An 18,142-nucleotide genomic window follows, 5' to 3' on the forward strand; every position below is an offset into this window, starting at 1 on the left:
ATAAATAATCCACCCTTATTTAGCATATAATCAAGAAATAAGTATCCTTAGTACAGCAGTCCAGGCTGCTGCTCTGCCTGTGGAGTAGCCATTCTTTATTCCTTTACTTTCTTTTTTTTGAGACTGAGTTTCGCTCTTGTTGCCCAGGCTGGAGTGCAATGGCGCGATCTTGGCTCACTGCAACCTCAGTCTCCCGGGTTCAAGCGATTCTCCTGCCTCAGCCTCCCAAGTAGCTGAGACCACAGGCATGCGCCACCACGCCTGGCTAATTTTGTATTTTTAGTAGAGACGGGGTCTCCATGTTGGTCAGCCTGGTCTCGAACTCCCGACCTCAGGTGATCTGCCTGCCTCAGCCTCCCAAAGTGCTGGGATTACAGGCATGAGCCACCGCACCTGGCCTATTCCTTTTCTTTCTTAATAAACTTGCTTTCATTTTGCACTATGGACTCACCCTGAATTCATTTTTGTGCGAGATCCAAGAACCTTCTCTTGGGATCTGGTTTGGGACCCCTTTCGAGTAGCAGTGGTCCTCACATCTGGCTCAGAATAAATCTCTTAAAGTATTTTATAGAGTTTAACTCCTTGTTGATATTCATAATATTCTTTTTTTTTTTTTTTGAGACAGAGTCTGTCGCGCAGGCTGGAATACAGTGGTATGATCTCATTTCACTGCAGTCTTGACCTTCTGGGCTCAAGTGATCTGCCCACCTCAGCCTCCCGAGTAGCTGGGATCACAGGTTCACACCACCATGTCCGGTTAATTTTTTGCATTTTTGATCGAGACAGGGCTTCGCCATGTTGCCCAGACTGGTCCCGAACTCCTGGGCTCAAGCAGTCTGCCTGCTTTGACCTCCCAAAGTGTTGGGATTACAGGCGTGAGCCACTGCGCTCCGATATTCTTTCATTTCTTCTTTACTTACTTGCCGTAAGATTTTGATAAAGATAAACTTGGCAGCATTAATACGTCACTTAGGAAATTTAGGATAAATGCTCGATTTCTCCCCAACTTTATTAATCAGCTATTCAAAAACTGAGGTGTTCCTCTATATCCTTCAAAGGTGACCAATGAATTTTTATTTTTTAGTATAATTGTGCACTCATGGATTTAAATATAATTGATGCATTTTAGCTTATTGCAGTTGTTTAATTTTATCGATACTCATATTGTCCCATCTTTGGCCAGTGGGAGTTTATTCAACTTGACTTCTGAGTCCTTTTAATTCCAAGCATCATTCATGACTTACTACTTTCTTTTGTGACTGATGTTTCTGCCTTATCTTGTACATATTCTGCTCTTAGACCTGAAATCTACTTAACAGGAACACTTAAAAGTTCCCTTTATTATGTTGTTAGGTTCACACAGCTTAATATGTATTTACATCTCAACAACTAAAAAGGGAAAAACAGTTTTTCTGTACTCTCTCACAGCACTTTTGACACCAGAAGTGTGTAGGGATTTCCCATATCAAACAATGATCCAATTCTTGGCAGGCACTAGGTGTTCTACAACTTAACCTAATGCTGGCAGTGCACTAACCTGAAGTTAATGCAGACCCCACAGGTTAAGGGCTCAGTCTTACAAGACTGTCCCCCACTTTAGATATCAATCACAAGTAGTGGGGTCCCCAGGTTACCCACAACCCTATCCCATTTGGCTCCAAATTGGACATTCCCAAGACCCCCTCTTCAGGTTTGAGAACTTGCATGAATGGCTCGTAGAACCATGTAAACACTTTACTTACTATTACTGGTTTATTACAAAGCATTTTTTAATTTTTTAATTTTTAAGATTTTTTAAAATAAATAGAGACGCGGTTTTGCTGTGTTGCCCAGGCTGGCCTCAAAACTCCTGGCCTCAAGCAATCCGCCCATACGGGATTACAGGCGTGAGCTAGCGTGCCCGTATTTCTTATTATATCACAGTATCACAAGAAGTTAATAGCCGTTTGAAAAAATAATACACGTAAGTTGAAAGAGGAAATAATATTTTTATTTCACTCCTACATAACTAAAATTACTAATGGTTTGTGTGTGCCTGTAGGACAGTGTACAGCTTGTAATACCTTGCAGTCAGATTGGACATCACTACCCTCATTTCTTGTTCCATGTTGATTTTTACATGGCACTTTTCTTTTTTTGTCACATGACCCCAGAAAACTCAGCTTCACAAGATATATTGTCAAGAGGAATGCAGTGCTATCTAATGTTGAAACTGAACTACTTTTAGCTAGTATTTTGTGCTGTTTCTGAAAGATGTCCAGTATTGCTGTTTCCCTCAAATTTAAGATGTCCCGAAACTCCCCTCTGAGTTTGCTTGCGGTGCCCCTGGGTGCTTCAGTGCACTCTTTGGGAATCTTGACTAAATACTATTATCCAGGTCTTATTATAATCAATGTGTGAATTTTATTTTTATTAAATAAATGTGTTGGTCCCCCCATCACCTCAGTTGAGTTCTAATTTAAGATTTACTTGAGGCCAGGCATGGTGGCTCATGCCTATAATCCCAGCAATTTGGGAGGCTGAGGTGGGCGGATCACCTGAGGTCAGGAGTTTGAGACCAGCCTGGCCAACATGGTGAAACCCCATCTCTACTAAAAATACAACCATTAGCCAGGTATGGTGGTGGGCACCTGTAATCCCAGCTACTCGGGAGGCTGAGGCAGGAGAATCGCTTGAACCCGGGAGGCGGAGATTGCCCTGAGCTGATACCACGCCACTGCTCTCCAGCCTGCTGACATAGTGAGACTCCGTCTCAAAAAATAATAATAATAAAGGCAAGAGTCCAAAGTGGATTTTTCCTTCTGATACTTAATATATGTATAGTTATGTGTCACATAATGTTTCAGTCAGGGATAGACTGCATATACAGAGGTGGTTGCCTAAGATTATAATACCATAACTGTACTTTTTTCTGTGTGGAGGTATGTTTATATACCAAGTATTCAGTACAGTAACATGCTGTACAGGTTTGTAGCCTAGGAGTAATAGGCCATACCATATAGCCTAGGTGTATAGTAGGCTCTACCATCCGGGTGAAAATAATTTGTTAATTTTCCTACTTTCTTGTCATTAATCGTTTTTAAAAACTTTTTTTTTTTTTTTTTTAGACAGGGTCTTGTGCTGTTGCCCAGGCTGGTGCCATCATAACTCACTATGGCCTCGACCTCCTGGGCTCAAGTAATTCTTCTGCCTCAGCCCTCCCGAGTAGCTGGGACTATAGACACATGCCACCACACTCAGCTAATTTTTTTTTTTTTTTGAAATGGAGTCTCGCTCTGTCACCAGGCTGGATTGCAGTGGCGTGATCTCATCTCACTGCAACCTCTGCCTCCCAGGTTCAAGTGATTCTCCTGCCTCAGCCTCCCAGGTGTCTGGGACTGCAGGCGCCCACCACCACGCCCGGCTAATTTTTGTATTTTTAGTAGAGATGGGGTTTCACCATGTTGGCCAAGATGGTCTCGATCTCTTGACCTAGTGATCTGCCCGTCTCGGCCTTCCAAAGTGATGGGATTACCACCATGCCTGGCCCACGTTTGGCTAATTTTTTATTTTCTGTAGAGACAGGGTCTTATGATGTTGCCAAGGCTGATCTTGAATTCCTGGGCTCAAGCAGTTCTTCCACCTTGGCCTCCCAAAGTGTTAGGATTATAGGCACTAGCCACTCCACCCGGTCGATTAATCTTTTAATAGTTGTCGTCAGCATGAAAAGGGCATTCATACATTCATATTCATTATAATGAATTTGAGAATTTCACATTTTCTAAACTGATTATACCGGCATATCTTGTCTGAAGCATGTGAGTAGGGCAGAAGCTAAAATAAAGATTAAGTCTCACGGTATAGAAGAAGGGTACAGAAAATAACCCAAATAAAGAGTAAAATCTTGATTAGAGTACAAGCCTAAACAAAGTTAATAGATATGAAAGGATTAATTATACAGCTACTAAATTGGATAATAATTGCTCTGTGGAATGTACATGAGAAATTATTTTTGAGCCTGTATATGTGAGTAGTTTGCATTTAATGGGTCCCGGTCATAAACCTCAAACATATTATCATGAGAAGAATTTCACTGTTGATATGAAATCTTTTAAACTTTATCTGCTCAGTCTGAAGGATTATTTCTGTCCCATTTCAGCTTATAAATGTAAAAAAAGAGAATGTGCTCCTCATATCTAATGAGCTGCTGGTAGACCACACTTCACACATGTTAACTGTTGATGGAGAGATTGAACCTGTCCAGCTTTACACACTGGGAGAGGACCCTAGGAAGCTGGAGAGGACCTAGGAAGCTGGTGTCTGATTTCCTCTGGACTTCACCCTATGTGCTTCTTCCTTTGCTTTTTTTGTTTTGTATTCTTTCTCTATGGTAGATCTTAGCTGTGAGTACAAACTATATGCTGAGTTATGTGAATCCTTCTAGCAAATCACCAGTCCTGGGGGGTACAGCCCCCAACACAGTAATAAATGACTTAAAAAGGAAAACACTATTCCCTGCCTCATCCTTGCACCTCTCTCAGTCTTAGGTTTTTTTTTTTCTTTTAGGTGTTTCTTTTGCTATTTGTTTCCTTTTTTCTAATAATAAACTGCTATTTCTTGAGATACCAGTTTTTGACGTTGTCTATTAACTAGGTATTACGATAGATGAGGGTTTAGGTTTCTTATACCCTTGCCCTAGTTCCCTGTGTTCAGTCCTCCAATATGACCATTTCACAGTGTGTAAGTCAGTATTCATGTTATCATTATGATAACTAGATAAATATTGTATAATACTGAACAGGGGACTACAGATTCTTTTTCCCATCTAACTTTTCTTTCTCCTAGAGTTGATAGTTGTTTCTTATTTTCATTTGCTTTGTTTACTGTTTTGTTTGTTTGTTTGTTTTCAGATAGGGTCTTGCTCTGTTGCCCAGGATGGAGCATAGTGGTGAGGTCATGGCTCACTGCAGCCTCGATCTCCTGGATTCAAGCAGTCCTCCCACCTCAGCCTCCCAAGTTGCTGGGACCACAGGCAGGTGCCACCATGCCCAGCTAATTAAATTTTTTGTAGAGATAGGGGTCTCGCTATGTTGCTCAGGCTGGTCTCAAACTCCTGGGCTCAAGCAATCCGTTCTCTTCAGCCTCCCAAAGTGCTGGGATTAGCAGTGTGAGCCACCGTCCCAGCCTATATGAAAAATTTATCCCCAAAGCTCCAGTGGCTCTTTAACATGTCTTATTGTTGCTTTCCACGTGGTCAGATGTATCTAATTTCCATCATTCCTTGGAGCTCTTCTTCCTCATGCTTCACTGTGGATTAGTTGGTCACAGATTTGCTTTTATGGGGACTTCCCTTTGCTGCACTCTAGGGTTGAATCTCAATCAAGTCTTCCTACTGTTTGTTTACTGCCTTGTTTTTGTAGGAATTATTGAGAAAGTATATTATTGGGATTGTAAATTATTGGGAAAGTAAATTTCTTGAGACTATTAGTCTGAAAATGACCTTATTTGTTGCGGGAAGTCAGGGACCCCGAACAGAGGGACCACCTGGAGCCATGGCAGAGGAACATAAATTGTGAAGATTTCATGGACATTTGTTAGTTCCCAAATAATACTTTTATAATTTCTTATGCCTGTCTTACTTTAATCTCTTAATCCTGTTATCTTTGTAAGCTGAGGATGTATGTCACCTCAGGACCACTGTGATAATTGTGTTAACTGTACAAATTGATTGTAAAATGTGTGTTTGAACAATATGAAATCAGTGCACCTTGAAAAAGAACAGAGTAGGCCAGACACGGTGGCTCACGCCTGTAATCCCAGCACTTTGGAAGGCCGAGGCAGGCGGATCACGAGGTCAGGAGATTGAGACCATCCTGGCCAACATGGTGAAACCCCGTCTCTACTAAAAAAAAATACAAAAAACTAGCCAGGCGTGGTGGCGGGCGCCTGTAGTCCCAGCTACTCAGGAGGCTGAGGCAGGAGAATGGCATGAACCCTGGGGGACGGAGCTTGCAGTGAGCTGAGATCGCGCCACTGCACTCCAGCCTGGGTGACAGAGCGAGACTCTGTCTCAGAAAACAACCAAACAAACCAAAAAAAACAGAGTAACAGTGCTTTTTAGGGAACAAGGGAAGACAACCATAAGGTCTGACTGCCTGTGGGGTTGGGCAAAAGGAGCCATATTTTTCTTCTTGCAGAGAGCCTATAAATGGACGTGCAAGTAGGGAAGATATCACTAAATTCATTTCCTAGCAAGGAATATTGACATTAATACTCTGGGAAAGGAATTCATTCCTGGGGGGAGGTCTATAAACAGCTGCTCTGGGAATGTCTGTCCTATGTGGTTGAGATAAGGACTGACATACGCCCTGGTCTCCTGCAGTACACTCAGGCTTACTAGGATTGGGAAACTCCATCCTGGTAAATTTTTGGTTAGACCGGTTCTCTGCTCTCGAACCCTGTTTTCTGTTAAGATGTTTATCAAGACAATATGTGCACCACTGAACACAGACCCTTATCAGGAGTTCTGATTTTGCCCTTGTCCTGTTTCCTCAGAAGCATGTGATCTTTGTTCTGCCTTTTGCCCTTTGAAGTATGTGATCTTTGTGACCTACTCCCTGTTTGTACACTCCCTCCCCTTTTGAAATCCTTAATAAAAACTTGCTGGTTTGGAGGCTTAGGTGGGTATCACGGTCCTACTGATATGTGATGTCACCCCTGGCGGCCCAGCTGTAAAATTCCTCTCTTTGTACTCTTTCTCTTTATTTCACGGCCAGCCAACACTTATGGAAAATAGAAAGAACCTACGTTGAAATATTGGGGGCGGGTTCCCCCGATACTTAAGTTAACTATACACTTGAATGATTGTTGGAACTAATTTTCTTTCAGCGTTTGAAGATACTTTAATGTCTTTAAGCTTCCAGTGTTTCTGTTGGCATATTGGTCCTGATCCTGTGAATATAAGCTGCTTCCCCAGCTCCCTCACCCACAGGACACTTTTTGGTATCATCTTTTTACCCCCAGTGCTCTGAAATTTCATGAGATGCATTGTCACAGTTCTCTTCATTTATCATGAGGGGTGCTCAGTGGTCCTCTCAAAGGACACTCTTGTACTTAAATTCTGGGACAAATTTATTTCCTTATTGTGGGAAGAACAAGAATGTATTGTGCCTGCAAACAGTGCTTACAAAATATAACATTTCCAAATAATCTTTTAATACTGGTTAGTGTTCAGTGTATAAGGTATTGATAAGTCAATATTTGGATTCCCTTATACAATTCTAGATTAGAGAATTTTAATTTACAGATTATTTTTTAAAACTATAAAAGTGAGGAAAGGTTGCTTTTAGTGAACTTAAGGCTGATATTTATTGATAAAGAATGTTTACAAAATATTGAATCTGTTTAACTCGTAAACTAGTTAAGCAAGTTATTGTTTTTCTGGAATAGGCCTTTTTATGTTTAGATAGTATCAAGTTTAATAAACTAGTAGGTTTATTCTTGAAAGCTAATTTCAGGAGACATTAATTTACTTAATTTCTTTCTTCTCTATTTATATTGCTTTGTCCTCTTGCATGCGTGACTGATTCTTACTGTGTGTGCTGATTAATATTGGCATAGGAGCAGAAAATACTACTTTAAGAACAATGTATAACCTAGTCCTTCAGAGAAGTGAATGTTTTTAAACAATTGTTTAGTTAAGTTTGAGTCTAGTTTTGTGAACTTTTTGTCTGTTTCATCTCAGTTGTAACTGTCATAACTGTACTTCTTACTTGAAATATTCATTTTCAAATGTACGATTGTTTTTGGTTCTAAAGTAAAATTCTGGATATGTGGTTTTTGCTTTATACTTTTAATACTTTTTGCTATTGCAGAAGTAATTTTTTTAATCTTCAGTTCTCTCTAGAGAGATATTGTTCTTTTACACAGGAACCAGCCACATGCTTTCATTTTGGAATGATTGGAAATAGTGATATTGGGTGTGAATGTAAGCTGATTCCCCAGCTCCCTCACCCACGGGACACTTTTGGTGTCATCTTTTTATCCCCTGTGCTCTGAAATTTCATGAGGTCAGGTCCATATTTGAAAAGGAAAGTCCTTTTTCTTTTTTGTTTGTTTTTTGAGACAGGGTCTCTCTCTTTCAGCCAGGCTGGAGTGCAGTGGCACCATCTTGGCTTGCTGCAACCTCCGCCTCCCGGGTTCAACTGATTCTTGTGCCTCGGCCTTCCAAGAAGCTGGGATTACAGGCATGCATCACCACGCCTGGCTAATTTTTGTGTTTTTAGTAGGGAAGTGGTTTCACCATGTCGTCCAGGCTGGTCTTGAACTCCTGGCCTCAAGCAGTCCACCTGCCTTTGCTTTCCAAAGCACTAGGATTACAGGCGTGAGCCACTGTGTCTGGCCAACATCCATATTTTTTAATGGCTTATGATCACATCTCTGTAAGGCATTCATGGCCCTTTATTTTCCTTCTCAGAGTTTTTATTGAAATATAATTTATATTTAGTGAAATGTACACTTTGATAAGTCTTAACAAATGTATACATACTTATAGCCCGCATGCCTGTTACGATGTAGATAGGAACATGGCCATCAACACAGAATGTTCTCTCTTACTACTTCATATTCAACCCCTGCCTCTTCTCCACACCCTAGTAACCACAGTTCTAAATTCTTTTGACACCTAGGTGACTACCTGTTCTAGAACTTACTATAAATACAGTCATATATTATGTACTCTATTGTGTTCTTATGCTATTTTATGAAATTATGTTTTGTTGTATATATGGATTATTTGTTTCTTATTAAAATGCTGAATAGTATTCCCTTATATGAATCCAATCATCTGTTTGTTGGCAATGTGGGTGCTTCTAGTTTCTAGTTTTAGCTATTACAAATAAAGTTACTCTGATGATAAGTGGGGTTTTTTTTGTGAATATTTGTTTTCATTTCTCTTGGGTAAATAAGGAGTGGAATTGCTAGGTCATATAGAAGGATATGCTTAAGTGAAGATACTGCCAGTTTTCCAGGTCTCAATGTGTGAGACTTCTGGGTGCTCCATATCCTTGCCAGTGTTAGGGATTGTTGTTCTTTTTAAATTTTAGCCATTCTAGATGATGTCTATTGATAGCTCATTTTAATTTTAATTTGCATTTATTTGATTTTTTTCCTTGGGCTTACTAACCATCAGTATGTCAAAATGAAATAAAATATAGAGATGAATCTCTAAGTTTAAAACATTTTATTTGGGAAGCAAGAATTGCAATTCAGGGCATACTCACACAGACCTGATGGTCTTTGCTGTGTCCCAAGAACAAAGAGAAGGTTAGGGGTTTTATTTTTAAAAAGAGAAATGTTATATATTGCTCTGTGAGAAAGTTCATCGCACTAGTAAGGTTTGGGGGACTGACAGTCTCTGAGTGGTGAGTGACCAGATGGGTAAAGCCAGTCTTAGAGTGGCAGCAGGTTGTTTCGGAAGTGATTAGATAAAACTAGTTTCAGGTTACAGCAGGCAGTTTCAGCGGCCAGGCTGGCAGAAAATTACATTCTTGGAGCAATGGTGTGTGCCCAGAGTGCTTTTTCCTCTTGGCTTCTTGACTCAGTTTTATTTGGGTATGACAAGTGACCCAATTCATATGATCAATTTTCATACTATATTTTCCTTTGTAAACTGTTTGTTCAACTCTGCCCATTTTTTTATGGGTTTTTTATCTTTTTATTATTCTAAATAAAATCCTTTGTCAGATACACACACACAACACACACACACACACACACACACAAATGTAGTCTTCAAGTCTTTGGCTTGACTGTTCATTTTCTCTTTTTTTCTTTCTCTTTCCCTACAAGACAAGGCTTCCCGCTGTCACCCAGGCTGAAGTGCACTGTGGTCATGGCTCACTGCAGCTTACCTCCTGGGCTCAAGTGATCCTCTTGCCTTGGCCTCCCAAAGTGCTGGCATGAGTGACTGTGGTTGGCCTGTTTATTTTCTTAATAGTGTCTTTTGATGAGCAGAAGTCCAATTTGTCAGTTTTTAATTTTATAGTTAGTGCTTTCTGGTAATGTCTGGGAAGTTTTTACCCTCTCAAAGCCCTCAAAAATATGTTTTTAGAAGTTGTATAGTTTTTAGCTATTAAGTTTTAGGTCTGTAATTTATGATGAATTATATTTTGTACATGATATGACATGGAGAGTGGAGCTTCAATTTTTTTCATATGCTTATCTAGCACTATTTGTTGAAAAAGATTGTCCCCTCATTGTATTCCTCTGGAACCTTTGTTGAAAATCAATTAACTATACACGTGTGCATTTCTTTTTGGAATTTCTATTTGTTCCTCCAATCTATTATCTGTTCTTACTGCAACACCTTACTGTCCTGATTACTGTAGCTGTTTTTCTTCTGTTTTTGTCTATGCTTGTTGGTGTTTCTGGGTTTCCCAGCTTCTATCATTCCAAGTCTATGGTGTGAGATAGAAGAAAACTCTGAGAACTCACCACCATATTCCTCCTATCCTGAGGTACTGAACCGGTCTGCCTCCTTCTGTCTACCTTTCAGAGTCTTTTTTTGTTTCTTCTTCTTCTTCTTCTTTTTTTCTTTTCAATCTGATCTGGGAATTTTAGTTGTACGTACCAGGAAGAATAGGGATAAATAATCTTTACTCAAATTTTCAATAATTTACACCAGGTATCCTCTTGCCTCAGAAATAAGAATTTCTGATTTTTGTTGTTTGTTTTCTTGCCTTTGAATATTTATACTTAAATTTTATTATGGACCATTTGAAACCTCTCTCTTCTGCCCTTTTCTTCAGTGAAGTTTAGGCTTGCTATAGCTCCCCAGTGGTCAAACAATGTGTCCTAATGCAAACATGTTGTTCTTCCTTTCTTACTAAACCGTCATGCACTCAGACTCTCACTCCTTCATGTCTGCCTTTAGTGGCTCCACTTATCTTCAGCTCTAGATGAATTAACTTGTCTTAGTCTGTTTAGACTTCTATAACAAAATACCATAACATGGGTAGCTTATAAACAACAGAAATTTATTGCTTTTCATTGCAGACTGGAATGTCCAAGATCAAGATGCTGACAGATTTAGTGTCTGCTGAGGGCCCACTTTCTGGTTCATAGACCTGGCCTTCTTGCTGTGTTCTCATGTGGTGGGTGGAGGTGGTGAATTCATAAGAGGAGGAGGGAGTGTCCTCATAAGAGGACACTAATCCCATTAATGAGAACTCCACCCTCACGACCTAGTCACCTCCCAAAGGCCCCCCCTCCTAATACCATCACCTTGGGGATTAAGTTTCAATATATGAATTTTGAGGGGACACATTCAGTCCATAGCACAAGTCAATAAATATTTCTTTAGAGTAGCTTTTGTCAGATAATCTATTAAATACTTTATGAACAAAACTGTCTAATTGTCTTTATCAGTCTAGTATGGAAACAAAAATAATTGTGTACCAGGAGAACATGGAAATGTAGTATAGTATAACTTACAAATGTTGTAGGGGTGAATGATCAAAAGCCACCTGGCATTTTGCTGCTGGTATTCCTGCCCTTACTCCTCTCTTAGCCCCAGTTTTGTCACTTTCTGGCTTTGGAATTGGTAATGACTCCCACACCAGGTCTGAACTCAACATGACATTTAGTGTCTGAGCCCACCTTATCTTTTAATGTCTTTTCCATTACTTCTTAGCAAGAACTGCCCAGGTCAGGCTGGTCTTCACCCCATTCTCATAATAAGTCCCAAATGTTCCTGTGTGTCTTTAACCACACTGTTCCTCCTGGCATAAATGTATTTATTCCCTTTCTTTGTGTGTATACGTGAAGGGTGGTTCAGTGAAAAAAAAGTGTTTTGAGTCAAACAGATCCCAGTTTTATCTCTTACTTGCTATGTGATTTAGGGAAAGTTATTTAAGCTCTCTGAGCCTTACTTTCTCTGTTTATAAACATGGAAAAATACTGCTTTTCTCACAGGGTTAGCTAAATTAATGTATGTGAACGTTCCAGAAGCCACAGGAACTCAAATAAATTGTTGATTCCCTTTATTTCCTGAATTAGAACTTAAGGCTTAGGGCAAGATTCATTTCTTCTAATATTTGTCTCATCAGCAGTAAATATGTTGAGAACAGAAAAGATACCAATTAGTTTATTAAATAAACATTTGACTACTTACTGTGTGCCATAGGTAGTGTTAAATTTTGGAGCTCACCATTAGCAAGGTGAACACATGCATATGTAATTGAAATACAGTATGGTAAGTGCTGTGAAGAGGTATGTTCAGGATGTTCTAGGACACAGAAAAGGAGTATTTGTGGCTTATACTGGATGGGGTGGGTCACCAGGGAGGATTCTTGGAGAAGTGTTGCTAGTGCTTGATTTTTTTAAACAGCTTTATTGAGGTAGAACTCATATAAGATCCACTCACTCGAAGTGTATAATTTAATGATTTTTAGCCAGTTTATGGGTTTCTGCAACCATCACCATAATCCAAATTTAGAATGTTTCCATCATCTACAAAATCATGCCCAATTGTAGGCCTAGTGTTAAAGGATGAGTATGAATTAGCCACGCAAAAATATTGAGAGGAAGGCTGGATTCCTGGGAGAGAATGAGCAAAGACAGAGAAGCATACAATAACATGGTATCCGTGTGGGTGATATGTCTATAAGCAATTTTTTTTTTCTGGAGTGTAAACCTGTGCGCCTGCCCCACAAGTTGTGTTTTAGCTTCCATGGACTTGAGCTCAGTTTCCTCATCTCTAATGTATAGTTCCTGTTACCTTGTTGAACTCTAGGTCCTTTTAAACTCTCAACTCTTAGATTGTCAAAACTTCAATTAATAGGAAAAGGGAATGCACTTTAAAAAACTATAGCCAAGGCCGGGCCTGGTGGCTCACGCCTGTAATCCTAGCACTTTGGGAGGCCAAGGCGGGTGGATCACAAGGTCAGGAGATCCAGACCATCCTGGCTAACATGGTGAAATCCTGTCTTTACTAAAAATACAAAAAAAAAAAAAAATAGCCTGGTGTGGTGGCAGACGCCTATAGTCCCAGCTAGTCGGGAGGCTGAGGCAGAAGAATGGCTTGAACCCAGGAGACGGAGCTTGCAGTGAGCCGAGATCGCGCCACTGCACTTCAGCCTGGGCGACAGAGTGAGTCTCAAAAAAAAAAAAAAACAAAAAAAAAAAAACAACGATAGCCAAGGCCGGGCATGGTGGCTCACACCTGTAAGCCCAGCACTTTGGGAGGCCAAGGCTGGTGGATCACCCGAGGTCAGGAGTTTGAGACCAGTCTGGCCAACATGGTGAAACACCATCTCTACTAAAAATACAAAAATTAGCCAGGTGTGGTGGTGGGTGCCTGTAATCCCAGCTACTCGGGAGGCTGAGGTGGGAGAATCACATGAACCCAGGAGGCAGAGGTTTAGTAACCAAGAGCACGCCACTGCACTCCTGCCTGGGCAACAAGAACGAGACTCCATCTCAAAAAAACAAAAACAAAAAACCAAATGATAGCCGAAAGTCAGGGCCCATTAAGAAAAACAGAATTATACTGATGCTTATTGATCCTTCAGTGAAAACTTTTTTGTTTTTAATATTTTTTTTTTCTGGTTATGTAAGCAATAGTGCATATTGGGTAGAAAATTTATAAAATGCAGAAAAACAAAAAAAGTTTAGATCAGTCATAATCTTAAATCCAGAGATAATTGTTATTAATATGCTGTTATTTTATACATATATTTATATATTTAAATTGATATGCTGTAAATAAAATTGCTTTTTCCTCACATCATTAAATATTGTCAACATGATTTTTAATGTTACATAATTTTTACAGGATCAAAAAACAGCTTGTTCTTTTTTTTTTTTTTTTAATTTGAGACAGGGTCTCACTCTGGCACCCAGGCTGGAGTGCAGTGGTGCGATCTCAGCTCACTGTAACCTCCATCTCCTGAACTCAAGTGATCCTCCCACCTCAGCCTCCCAAGTGGCTAGGACTATAGGCGTGTATCACTACACCCAGCTAATTTTTTTTTATTATACTTTAAGTTCTAGGGTACATGTGCATAACGTGCAGGTTTGTTACATATGTATACATGTGCCATGTTGGTGTGCTGCATCCATTAACTCATCATTTACATTAGGTATACTCCTAATGCTATCCCTCCCCCCTCCCCCCACCCCACCACAGGTCCCAGTGTGTGGTGTTCCCCATCCTGTGTCCAAGTGTTCTCATTGTTCGGTTCCCACCTATGAGTGAGAACATGCATGCGCCCAGCTAATTTTTTGTATTGTTTTTTTAGAGACAAAGTTTCGCCGTGTTGCCCAGGCTGGTCTCAAACTCCTAGGCTTGAGTGATCCACCCACCCTGGCCTTCCAGAGCGCTGGGATTAAAGGCATGAGCCACCGTGCCAGGCCCCTTTTCATTTTTTTAAGTGTTAGAATAAAGTCTACCCTTCTGACGCTTCCAAGAGTTAACAGTAATTAACCGTTTCTTACATGTTTTCAGAAACTGTGTGTGTGTGTGTGACTTTATAGCCTATTTGGATAAACCATAATTTAATCAGTATTCTATTGATAGCATTTTAGATTATCTTGTTTTTTGTTTTTACAGTACTGCAGTGAATATTTTCTTGCATATATCTTTGCATTTTTGTGAAAGTATATCTGAAGAATAATTTCCTAAAAGCAGAATTCTGGATCAAAGAGAATAGATTTAAAATTTTAATAGCTACGATAAGATTGCTTTTCAAAAAGGATCATGTTATACTTCTACCATTAGTAGGTGTTCTCGTGAGTCTTGTTTCCTCTATCCTTACCATCATAATGGATCTTATATGTGCCATTTTGTACTTTGCCACTCTTACATTAGAAAAGTGATAGCTCATTGTTTAAAAAATTATAATTGAAGTTGAACATTGTTTCCACTCATTTTTTAGCCACTTTTCTGTGAACTGCCTGTTCACATCCTTTGTCTGGTTCTCTTAATTTGTTGCTATTTTCATTAATTTGTTAATAACTCTTTGCTTTTTAAAGAAATTACCTCTCCCAATTTGCAACTTTTTTTTTTCCACATTTGCTTGTCCTTTGACTTTATTTATGGTCTCAGAATTGTCACTTATGGCTTGTGGATTTTTTAAATTGTAAAGTTAACATTTAAAGTGAGTGCAAAGAGAGGCCGGGCACGATGGCTCACACCTGTAATCCGAGCACTTTGGGAGGCCGAGGCGGGTGACTCACCTGAGGCCAGGAGTTCGAGACCAGCCTAACCAATATGGTGAAACCCTGTCTCTACTGAAAATACAAAAAATTAGCCGGGTGTGGTGGCAGGCACCTGTAATCCCAGCTACTCAGGAGGCTGAGGCGGGAGAATCACTTGAACCTGGGAGGCGGAGGTTGCAGTGAGCCGAGATTGCGCCATTGCATTCCAGCCTGGGCAACAAGAGCGAAATTCCATCTCTCAAAAAAAATAAAAAAAATAAATGAGCGCAAAGAGAAAAAGTGATTCTGATAGTATTTCAAATGAATATCATAATGACATTAAAGAGGAATAAGAATTAATCCAAGTAACTTTCAAACGCAGTACTTTGACTGTGTACCTACCATCCTAAAGAAGGGAGAAAATGCAAACAAATTTTGAACTCCTCTTACATTTGTCCTTTGTAGCATCTGTTGTAGTAAAACTATTTTGCATGTATTTTAGGATTGATTAAATGAGGGTTCCTTCATTTCTTTTAGCATAACTGCAGTACAAAAATATAGTTATTATCAATACATGAGCTGCATATAAAATTGCATGCATCGTAGAATCAGTGGTCTGTAATTATATGAATCATTAAATATATCATTTTAATTATAAAATTTAATTATGATGTGAACTGTTCATATGTAGTTATAAAGTCGTCTTTGTAACTTATTTATAGTTGTTTAGTCATAAAGCAAAATAGTAAGATTTTATGTTGGGGAGCAGTCAAAATGAAGCACTTTAGAATGATGAGTGGTTTTTTTTTTTTAAGGAATTCCATATTCTACTTTGAGAACTCTACCTCTGATTTTCATTTGATTTATTTTTTGAATACTCGAAGATCCCAGTGCTTTCAACCCTGAGAACTGAAATGTGTGATGCATGGAATATATCTCGAGACAATAAAATGAAAGAGTTTTTTACAAGGGGGTTTGTGGAGAAAATATTTTTGATTTGTAAATGCTGTGGTGTTTTTGTTCCTTGGTGTTAGGTGACTCTGCTAATGTTTTTTCTCTTGGTGCAGGTGTAATGGATAGGTAACAGAGAAGACCTCGTCCCTTCCTAGTCAGGGCATCAGCATGACTGAGTGCTTCCTGCCCCCCACCAGCAGCCCCAGTGAACACCGCAGGGTGGAGCATGGCAGCGGGCTTACCCGGACCCCCAGCTCTGAAGAGATCAGCCCTACTAAGTTTCCTGGATTGTACCGCACTGGCGAGCCCTCACCTCCCCATGACATCCTCCATGAGCCTCCTGATGTAGTGTCTGATGATGAGAAAGATCATGGGAAGAAAAAAGGGAAATTTAAGAAAAAGGAAAAGAGGAGTAAGTGCCATTTTTTCCTATGCCTAGATATTTTTATTTTATTTTATTTTACTTTATTTTATTATTATTTTTTGGGACAGAGTCTTGCTCTGTTGCCCAGGTTGGAGTGCAGTAGCACAATCTCAGCTCACTGCAACCTCCGCCTCGAGGTTCAAGCAATTCTCATGTCTTAGTCTCCCGAATAGCTGGGACTACAGGCGTGCGCCACCATGCCCAGCTAATTTTTGTGTTTTTAGTAGAGACAGGGTTTTGCCGTGTTGGCCAGGCTGGTCTTGAACTCCTGACCTTAAGTGATCTACCCACCTCGGCCTCCCACAGTGCTGGGATTACAGGCGTGAGCCACTATGCCTGTCCTAGATATATTTTAAATAAACTTCCACTCTAATTACATGTACCAGCTGTCTTCTGGAAACATGTGAAGGCAGAGATTCTTGTTTGACTTTTCTGTTCTTTATTTTTCAGGGTCTCAGTTTTTGTATATTAGAGTTGTATTTTGGGATCTTAATCTCACAAATAAAAATACTGAGTTTCCAGAAATGGAAAAGTTTTCTAGCGGATATTTCCTGAAGTAATAACTCAAAATGATGTCTAGAAAGATATTAAGCTGGCCACAGTGGCTTACGCCTATAATCCCAGCACTTTGGGAGGCTGAGATGGGAGGATTGCTTGAAGTCAGAAGTTCAAGAGCCTGAGAAACAAAAATTTAAACCATTAGCTGAGCATGGTGATGTGTGCCTGTAGTCACAGCCGCTTAGGAGCCTAGGAGATTGAGGCTGCAGTGAGCTATGCTTGCACCACTGTAGTCCAGCCTGGGTGACAGAGTGAGACTCTGTCCTCTCCTCCGCTGACGCCCCACCCAAAAAAAGGTAGATACTGGAATTTTCCCCTTAAGGCATCTTACTTTTCTTGGGTAGGTCGTGTTCGCTATTTGGGATACACTTTTTTGGAACCTTCAATAAAGTAGCTATTTATCTTAAGCAAATACCATGATACATTCCATTTGAGGTCCTATTCAGTAGGGAGGATGAATCATTTGAGCGTGGCTTTTTAGTATGTTAAAAGCAAATAAAGTGAGTTATGTTAAGTATTCCTTATTTTGAACTTCATGACATTTTAAATTGATTTGTTTTTGAAGAATTACACAGAGTACACAAATTGTATACAACTTGATGAGTGGGTATGCCTGTGTAACCACTACAAGGATCTGGAAATAGAGCATTATCAATTTTCTTTTGTGCCTCTTTAAAGGGAATCACCTACCCCTCCCATAAGTAAACTTCTTTTATTGTTGATTGATGCTGCCTGATTTTAAACTTACGCATACTTCTATTTGTGTCTAGCTTCTTTTACCCAATATTATATGTTAAAAGTAAAACTTTTAGACAAACTAAATTTAATGGGTTTTTTTTCTTTTGTGTTTTTATTTTGAGACAGAGTCTTGCTCTGTTGCTCAGGCTGTAGTGCAATAGTGTGATCACGGGTCACTGCAACCTCTGCCTCCCAGGTTCAAGTGATTCTCCTGCCTCAGCCTCCCAAGTAGCTGGGATTACAGGCACCCGCCACCATGCCTGGCTAATTTTTGTATTTTTAGTAGAGACA

At 39.8% G+C, this 18,142-nt stretch overlaps 1 protein-coding gene across 8 annotated transcripts in view; it reads left to right on the forward strand.

The window, feature by feature from the left end:
* RALBP1 (ralA binding protein 1) overlaps positions 1–18,142 on the forward strand; it is a 63,106-nt gene that overhangs the window by 21,738 nt on the left and 23,226 nt on the right. For all 8 annotated transcript variants that reach the window (XM_047437278.1, XM_047437282.1, NM_006788.4 and 5 more), the window contains one exon: positions 16,245–16,543. In XM_047437278.1, coding sequence (XP_047293234.1) covers positions 16,300–16,543 — 244 coding nt within the window. In that variant the 5' untranslated portion in view covers positions 16,245–16,299. The remainder of the gene's footprint in view (positions 1–16,244; positions 16,544–18,142) is intronic.

This window comes from Homo sapiens, chromosome 18 (assembly GCF_000001405.40).
Source record: "Homo sapiens chromosome 18, GRCh38.p14 Primary Assembly".
In the NCBI taxonomy this organism is placed as follows: Eukaryota; Metazoa; Chordata; class Mammalia; order Primates; family Hominidae; genus Homo; species Homo sapiens.